This window comes from Homo sapiens, chromosome 1, assembly GCF_000001405.40.
Source record: "Homo sapiens chromosome 1, GRCh38.p14 Primary Assembly".
Classification (NCBI taxonomy): Eukaryota; Metazoa; Chordata; class Mammalia; order Primates; family Hominidae; genus Homo; species Homo sapiens.
The window spans coordinates 78,364,410-78,374,046 of NC_000001.11; the positions used below are offsets into that span (position 1 = coordinate 78,364,410).

The 9,637-nt window shown below is 37.5% G+C and overlaps 1 long non-coding RNA gene across 1 annotated transcript in view; it reads left to right on the plus strand.

Moving 5' to 3' along the window:
- MGC27382 (uncharacterized) overlaps positions 1–5,055 on the plus strand; it is a 139,866-nt gene extending 134,811 nt beyond the window's left edge. Inside the window, exons 5-6 of the long non-coding RNA NR_027310.2 lie at positions 4,128–4,318; positions 4,874–5,055. This is a non-coding gene — a long non-coding RNA (uncharacterized MGC27382). The remainder of the gene's footprint in view (positions 1–4,127; positions 4,319–4,873) is intronic.
- The last annotated feature ends 4,582 nt before the right edge of the window (positions 5,056–9,637 follow it).

Here is a 9,637-nt window from a genome sequence, read left to right on the forward strand (position 1 = left end):
TGTTGGCCAGGATGGTCTCAATCTCCTGATCTCGTGATTAGCCCACCTCGGCCTGCCAAAGTGCTGGGATTACAGGCATAAGCCACCACACCTGGCCTGCACAGTGTTTTTGATAGTATAATTTTACCCATTTTTTTTCCTTTAATCTATATTTTCATCTTAGATCCCATCTAAGGAATAGTAGTTTTGGCCATTTTCAGGTAAGGGAAAAATCTAAACTTTTTACGTAAACTTATTTTGTAGTCTCATAGTTCTACAGCTTTATGGCAGATTCATAGAGTAGTATGTTTGAAAGGCACAACAGCTGATTATTCACTCTATCCTTCTGAGCAGTGATTCCCAAGTGTGGAAAAATAATACCAAATTCTGTGGTGAGATACATGTATAGGTTGAAAAAATACATTCGGTATTATCAAATAAGTTTGTAACTGAAAATGAAAAGGAAACCTGTTATTTTAATAACAAAAATAACAAGTAAAATTCAGCAGCATCTTGGTTGGTATGGATACAGAGAAGCTACAGTCATTCTCCACTGGGATACTCTTTCTCAAGAGGGACAATGTCACAACCTCTGGAGCTGGGGGCAAAAATGGTTAGCTCTGCTCTAGGGGAAGTTCAAGGTATTCCTTCTCTGCCTTCACTTCAAAGCCACTCCAACCCCTCAAGAAGGAGAAGCTCTGGCCTAATCAAGGAGAAAATGCTGTCATCAGGGTCACAAAATGGATTTTTAATACAAGGAAGTACAATACAGTGGAGTGAACATTCTTTCTTTTTCATGCTTTACTCTGTTGCCCTTCTTCTTTTCTATGTTCCTGGTGCTTAGGGAGCCTACATATTCCTCCTGCTTGGGATGATCAGAGTGAAGCCTTAGGAAAAAGAATATTCTCTCTTTTTCATTCTTTTGCTGACATCAGAATAGAAAGATCCTGACACTAAAGAACCATCAGTAGATGGCTAAAGGTACAGGGTTTGTGGACAAGGCTGCTAAAGGCCTGTGTTTAGTCTAGACCTTATTATGCTAAATGGGCCGGAGAGGTCCTTGAAGCTTACAAAACACAGCTTAGCTCACTAGAGAAAAGGAGCCGATAGAAATTTGGAGTTGAAACCTTAGCTAAAATAGACATACATTTACCTAGAATATCCTTGAGCAATTTGTAAAATAGAAGAAATGCAAGATTTATTCAGTCCTGAAGTTGAGTTACAATTCAGCCAGGGTACAATTGGGACATTAAACAATTACCTAAACTTAGTTTCTTCATTTACACAATGAACATAAAAATGAACATCTTCAGGATTGTTGACAGAATTCAATGAGAAAATGAGTGTGATAGCTCTTAGCACATGTGCTCCATAATGGGTACCCAACAAATTGTTGCATTATTACTATATTTCATGTTAGTTCCTAGTGAAGTTCTCTCTTGGAGTCAAGAGAAAATGGGACTTTCAGGCAGTAAGTGGAAAAAAAGATTTTAAAAATCAGTATAGAGGTAACATATAGTGAATACCTATATAGAAACAAAGAAATAGGAGACCTCAATTCAAAAAGTGTACCTTAGTGAGCCTTTCTTTTAGAGTAACTCTTCTGGGTCGCATTCCATGGTTGATGGAGGAAATATTAGGAAAACAACATTAGAGTAAAATTAGGAAATTTTGCTAACATGTCTGGTTTGATATAAATCATCTCATGATCTTAAGAATAAGCATAAAGTGACATCAAGGGACACTTCTGTTGTTCTCAAAGAAGTAGAGAAGCTGTATATATTAATGTGATAATATAAATAGACACTATAAACAAAAAGATATTTGGTAATGTTAAGGTCCTGAAGAGTGTTAGAAGACATCATTGTAATAGTTGGCACACTTTTCAATGGAGTGGCTCTTTGGATGTTGTAGGAGAAATTACTAGATGCCTACCAAAAGCTGTTCCACCTCTAGTAGCAAGACATAGAATTGCACAGCTACCCTGTGTTTTCCAGCTTCCTTTCCAGTTTGTGGTTGGGTATGGTCCTATGACCATGTTCTCTCCAGTGGGATATGAGAAGAGGTAAGATGTGATACTTCCAGACTTGGCCTGTAAAACCTTTCATGTGGCAACTCTGTGGGCTTTTTCCATGGGATTCCATGGGATGGTGACATCCAGAATGACTATGGAAGATTTATGTTGAAAATGTCAGTGCATCTGGCAGCATAGGTCCCAGATTAACGGGGTGGAGAGGACTTATCACCCTGATCCCTGCCAACCTGCCCATTCTGGATTTGAATGAGAAAACAAACAAGAAGCAAAAACAAACTCCCATTGTGTTTGAATCATTATTCAAATGGATTTATTTGAATCCAATCATTCTGGATTTATTTGTTTGTACTTTGCACTTTGACCTACTTTAGACTTTTGGTTAAGATGGTGTTTTAAGTTCATTCTTTGAAGTTTGACATTTGCTTCAAATATATAACAAAGATAGAGGAAATATGATTAATGTGTTAAAAGACACCTTGAAACAAAACAGGCAGTAATGAAAAGGAAGGATATATAAATATGAAAAGGAAACAATTAGAAATCTTGAAAATAAAACATGTAATTATTGAATAAAGACTCAATAGAAAGGATAATGTCTACATTGGCTTAGTTAATAAACAAATGGATTGGGATACAAAAGTAAGGAATTCAACTAGAATGATGAATTGAAGCGAAACAATGAGTTAAAAAATATAAAACAGTTTAAGGTAAATGAAAGTTAGATTGAGTGGCTTCAGCATGCACCCAATAGGAGATTCAGAAGATAATCGAGTGAATTCTGGAAAAGCATTAATTAGAAAACAATGAAGAAGAATTTTTGAGATTTGAAGAAAGATACTAATCTTTACACTGAAATGGCACTCTGAGTACCAAACTGGATAATAGGAACAAATTCACACTTGGAGACATTATGATGAAACTGCAGAACATCAAGTACACAGAGAAAACTGTCAGAACTATCAAAGAGAAAGGACACTTAGAAAAGAGCAACAAGTAAATCACTGGAAGATTTCTCCTCCGGAACAACAGATTTCTAGATGACAATAGAGTAATAGCTCTAAAGAACTGAGAAAAAATAGCTGCCAACCTGGATTTTGTACTGACTTAGCTATCCTTGAGGATGAAGACAATATAGGAATGTGTATTACCCACACACAGTCATGAAAAAACTATTTACACCTTAACAAGTAGAAAAGTGAACCCAGAGAAAGAATATAGGTTACCAGAATCAATAGCGATAACAAAATTTTCTTAAAAATAGAGAATAAATGCAATTAATTAATGACTGAAAATAATTTTATCTGTTAAAAGCAATGTGAAAAAGGCTCTATAAAACAATTATATGATGAGAGAGGGATATAATGGGTAGTCATATCATGTAAAGTTCTTGTTTAAATGACAAACAGATACTTAACTGGTCTAATTTTTCAAAGAAAATTTATAATGAAGTATTAATAACTTAGCTGCTGAAACTCAGTAGTTCAGTACGTATTTCTTTCCCTCTTTTCCCTTCCCTTCCCTTCCCTCTTTCCTTCCTTCCTTCTCCCCTCCCCTCCCCTCCCCTGCCCTCCTCTCCTTTCCTCTGCTTTATTTCCCCACATCCACTGACTAAAATAACAGTGTTCAATGTGGCAAGGAGTACTCTTAAAAGCATCTTTTATACATGTAATTTTAAACATTTCATTACATGCAATACAGTGGCAACTAAGTTTATTTCCTGATGATGAACCTGCCTTTGCAAAATTATGACAGTAGAAGAAATCTGCCATAGTTGACTCCATCTTGCTTCTAACCTCCAAGCTGCCTTTGGTCATTCCTGGGCATAGGCCAAGCTCACTTTGGGAGAAATTTAGTTTATAGTTTAACCTTAAAACAAGGATGATAATAGCCTTGTCCAAAACTAAACTACCTTTGTAAAACTAATGAAAGTTCACAAAGTTAGGATTATGAGAGGGGCCTGAATTATGCTAAGATGTAGGTGTAGTTTCTATAATTACTTACTACTTAGGAGTTATGTGGCCAGAGGTCACAAGATTTGTGACTTTTCCAATTGCTCCTATAGAAAACATCACTATTGCAGAACCAAAGATTGGTCTTTTGAAATGTTTTTCAGGCTCACTCCACCCAGTCCTGTGACTCATGACTCACCTCCAATCAAGAGATGGACTCAGCTCATGAGGACCATTTTCCATACCCCTATGACTGCCTCCGCAACCAACCAGCAACACCCATCACCTAGTCACCTGCCCACCATACTATCCTTGAAAATCTCTAATCTTCAAGCCTTCAGGGAGACTGATTTGAGTAATAACTCTATCTTCTGTGTGTCTGGCCTCGTGTTAATTAAACTCTTTCTTTACCGTAATGCCATGGTCTCAGTGAACTGGCTTTGTCTGTGCAGCCACCAGAAATAACCCACTGGGCAATTACAATAACCTATATTTCAACTGGTGGGTGAGCTAGGTAGTGGTGGTGGTGTCTCTGTTACATGCTATTATTCAGTCACTCAGGCTGATAAATGCTCTATCCTCAGCATAGGGCTTCCATTGTCCCTTAGGACACTGACATACAGCTGGCTAGGGGTGGAAGTAGAGGGAATGGAGGTTTTAATGGGCCAGGCTTGGGAGTGGCATTCCTCACTTCTGCACATATTCCATTGGCTTGACTATAGCTCAGTCATGCAGCCATATCTATCCAACTTCAGGGGAGGCTGGGGAGTAAAGTTCAGCTTTGTTCCCAGGAGAGAAGGAGAATGGGTTTTATGAGCAGTTAGCCAGTCTCTGTCACAAGTCTGTATTTTCATAATTAAAAGTAACACCCAAAGAGTAAAGTTGCTATCTATAATTTCCGAATTTGCAGAACAAAAGGGACCCTAGAAATCTTCAGCCATCCAAAAGAAGGCAAAAAAAAGAGTATCAAGGAAAGAGGATGGCAAACAGAAAATGTAAAAGAAGATGGTAGAAATCACTTCAAGTTGGTAATCACAATATATGTAAATATATTAAACACATCCATTAAAAGGCTATGTGATTAGATTAAAACAATGTAGTTCTATGTGATGCTTATGAGACATACGTATAAAGCAAACCCAGACATAAAGTTGGAAAATTAGAGGCATAGAAAATGACATATTGGTCCAATATTAACAAAAAGAAAGCTTGGGTAGCAAGTATTGGTATTATATAAAAAAAGACGCAATTATTTATAAGAATAAAGAAGAATCTGTTAAATTTACTTTTACTGTCCTATTGAAAGAATCATAATACTCTAAAACTACAGCCATGCATTGTGTAATGATGAGGTTACTTCCTGAGAAATGTAATGTTAGGCAATTTTGTCATTGTGTGAACAACATAGAATATACTTATGCAAATCCAGATGGCATAGCCTACTACACATGTAGGCTATGTGGTATAGCCTATTGCTCCTAGGCTACTAACCTGCACAGCATGCAACTGTACTGAACACTGTAGAAAACTGTATGTAACACAGTGATATTTGTGCATCTAAACATAGAAAAGGTACAGTAAAAATACAGTACAAAAAAATAAAAACTAGTATACTTGTAGAGAGCAGTTACCATAAATGGAGCTTGCAGGGCCAGAAGTGGTCTGGGTAAGTTAGTGAGTGAGTGGTGATTGAATGTGAAGGCCTAGGACATATTCCCATACTTTGGTCAATAAACATTATTACCTATAAAAGGTATAATCTAAACAGAAGCCAAGAACACATTAAATGCAGGTCCCTTGTCTAACCTTCTTCTCACATGTCTAATTTATTCTCTGACTTTGGTTAGAATGAAGTGACCCCAATTAAAAAAATTTTAAATATCACCCAGAATAAATATTTGCTTTGGTCATAATCACAAACTTAATTGATAGAATTCATGTTTGTGTTTAGAAAAAGTCAATGGAAAAGTTTTGGAAAAAAAGCCACTTTCCTATTTCTCCTCCAGGGGTCTGTTGCTCATCTGGGGGCAACATAAAACTATGTTTAAATATGCATATTATTGATTTTACTAAGTAGTTCACTTACAAGCTCTGATTGAGCACTTATGATATGCCAAGCACTGTTAAGAACTGGGCTACAAAGACTATGAGGCCTGACTCATTCTTTTCAGGCACGAGCATACCAATACAGGAAACAGAAAAGTACAAGTTGCAGGAGGTGTATGTAGGAAATGCCATGAGAAGAAGCCCGTGGTACTATGTGACTGGGGACAGAGAGGCAAGTGTTTCTACAGGCAGAAGCCAAACCAGCTGCTGAGTAAATTTACCAGGTTTGCTTGATTCTTGTCATTAATTTTCAAATGAATAACTAATAAAGGAAGCTAAGTGGTCCATGCACAAATGTCTAGGGAGTTGTTCATACAAATTTCTTTGATTAGCTGGATTAAATCAGGTCAGTTTAAACATCCTCTGAAGAAACACCTCTGTTGGTAAGACTTTTCAGAAGGCTTCAGCTACAAATGGAAAACAGGCATCCTGGGAATAAACTGACTAGTACATGTGAGCATCTCTTCAGTTACTTAGCTTAGTCATTGTTTCTAATGTTTTGTGGTCTCAAAGAACCATGTGAATCAACAAACCGCATATAACCAAGAACAGAAGGTTCTGGCTGAAGGATATTTTGTTTTTTTTTTTTCTTTCACAATATTAAAACAAAAGATTGAAGGACAGAACCTTAAAGATCAGAGATAGATAGATAGTGAGATAGACAGAATTTCTAGAGGCTAAAAGTTCCTTCCTCCTTCAACATTTACCTACTTTCAGAAGTGCTTTCCTAACATGAAATGTGCTCATTTTGCTAGAGGGCTGTTCTGGTTATTTATCACTATGTAATAAACCACACCAAAACTTAGTGGCTTAAAATAACATTGTTCATTCTGCCTACAAAACTGCAATTTGAACAAGGCTTTGTGTAGGATGACTGCTGTCTTTTTCACATGATTTCAGCTGGGGCGCTTTGACTGTGGTTGGTGGATCCACTTCTGAGATGGCTTGTTCAATGGCTAACAAGTTGGTGCTGATGGTTGGCTGGTAGCTCAGCTGGAAAACAAGGCTGGAGGCCTTGAGCTTCTCCATCAGGATGCTTGGACCTCTCCACTACAATGCTTGGGTTTTCTCAAAACATGGTAGCTGGGTTCCAAGAGCAAGTATTCCAAGATCCAGAAAAAGAAACCATGCCAGTCTATTAAGGCCTAGGCTTAGAAACTGCCACAGCATTACTTCCATAATCTATCAGCCAAAGCAGACACAGAGCCTACCTGCATTCAAAGCAGACACAGAGCCCACCTGCATTCAATAGACCTCACCTCTATGGGAGGAATGTGAAAGACTTTGTGGACATTTTTAATCTGCCACAAAGGCCAAAGCTCAAGCCCATTTCTGTCATGAGTAAGCACAATGAGAGTATTGGGACCAAATATAGAGGAAGGGGAGTATCACACTAAGAAATAGAGGAGGTAGATGGATAAATCCAGAGACAGTAGCCTACAGCTTCCATAAATGATTTTACTGCAGTTTGATTAGTTCTACCCTTCCCAAAGAGTGCTAATGCTTTCGTAGTTGTAGGGTATATTAGTCTGTTTTCACACTACTAAAAAGAACTACCTGGCCAGGCGCAGTGGCTCACGCCTGTAATCCCAGCACTTTGGGAGGCCAAGGCAGGCAGATTACCTGAGGTCAGGAGTTTGAAACCAGCCTGGCCAACATAGTGAAACCTCGTCTCTACTAAAAATACAAAAATTAGCCGGGCATGGTTGTGTATGCCTATAATCCCAGCTACTTGGGAGGCTGAGGGAGGAGAATCGCTTGGACCAGGGAGGCAGAGGTTGCAGTGAGCTGAGATCCCGCCACTGCACTTCAGTCTGGGTGACAGAGTGAGACTCCATCTCAAAAAATAACAAAAACAAAAAGCAAACAATCAAAAAACAACAACAAAAAAACCCTACCTGAGCCTGGGTAATTTAGGAAGGAAAGAGGTTTAATTGACTCACAGTTCCACAGGCTGTACAGGAAGCATGGCTGGGGAGGCCTCAGGAAACTTACTATCATGGTGGAAAGTGAAGGAGAAGCAAGCACATCTTATCATGGCAGAAAAGGAGAGAGAGAGAAAGCAAAGAGGGAAGTGCCACACACATTTAAACCATCAAATCTCATAAGAACTCACTCACTGTTACAAGACCAGCCAGGGGGAAATCCTCCTCCACCATCCAATCACCTCCAACCAGGTCACTCCCCTAACCCTGGGAATTACAATTTGACAATTTGACATGAGATTTGGGTGGGGACACAGCCAAACCATATCACATGGATACAGAGTCAGATGTAAAGGATGGTAAATTTTCCTGTCAGGTCAATTTTAGCGGACTCATTATTCTAGTAGTTGCCTCCTTTTTTTTTGTTTCCCTTTCTGTGCTTTTTTCTTGGGATAACTCTAGAATCCAATTTTGTTTCCTCCAATTTGCTACTCTAATTTTGTCCCCTTAGATTTATTGCTCTGTGCTCATTTCTTAAACTGACTATTGTATTTTCTCAATTCATTTAGTCCAAATAATGAACTGTATCCTTTCTCCCTTTCATCTTATCTCCTCATACCCACTTCTCTGTAATTTAAATAGATTACAGATGTGATGAAAATTTTTGCCTACCTAATTTGATTCTCAAAGAACATATTGAGAAAACACATGGTTGATTTCAAATGCTTTATTATAGGGCAAAACCAAATGGAAATACCTTATCACCTTGAGTCCAAAGCAGTTCTTGTTAAAATCATTTATTTTATCAGGCAACGTGATACCACTGTGAGAATTAGATGCATTAAACATAATTTTAGCTGTTTATTTGCATCTTAGAATATTTTGTCAGTTTTAAATTGATGAAGATGTTAAGGAGCATCAAGGTTAATTGATGGTTAATTGCATGTGGATAGAGGTCTTAAATTAGTCTTAACATAAAATCAGACTAATTGATCATCAATTATTCTAGATATTAAGGAAACCTTTAAAACACTGAATAATTATCTTGAGGTTTTTCATTGACAATATGTATATTTTTGGATACTTATTTTGGTCTTAATTTACCAAAAAGGTTTTATGATTCATTTCCAAAGAAGAAAAAATAGTTTTCCTTCTGTCTCTATTTTCCTCATTTTTCCCCTTAAATAACAAGTTACACAAAAGAAAAAAGATAACAAGATAACAAGGTTGTTTCACATCATTATTTGCTGAAGACCAGGTCTGAGAAGTACATGTTCCTATCTTCTTGTTACCTATGTACAAGATGAAAATCCTTAGATTAGAGTCTCCTAATAGATTTAAGATCCCTATTAGTTAAAAACACACGTTATTTTTCTCTGGATAGCTTATACACTGGCAGCACATGAAGATACAGTTGATTGGCTGAACAGGAGAACAACATTCTGTGGCTAAATCTATTCCACACACCAAAAATTGGATCTGGGCCTGAATGCTAATTAGGGATTTAGCACTGAGCACTTGTTGTACAGGAACTTACTGTAATAGGCAAAGTTCACCATTCTCTCTAGCTAAATAAACCTATGTTAGAATATAGAAAAAATGCATTTCTTAAACCATATATCTTTCCAAATATCATGAATGGA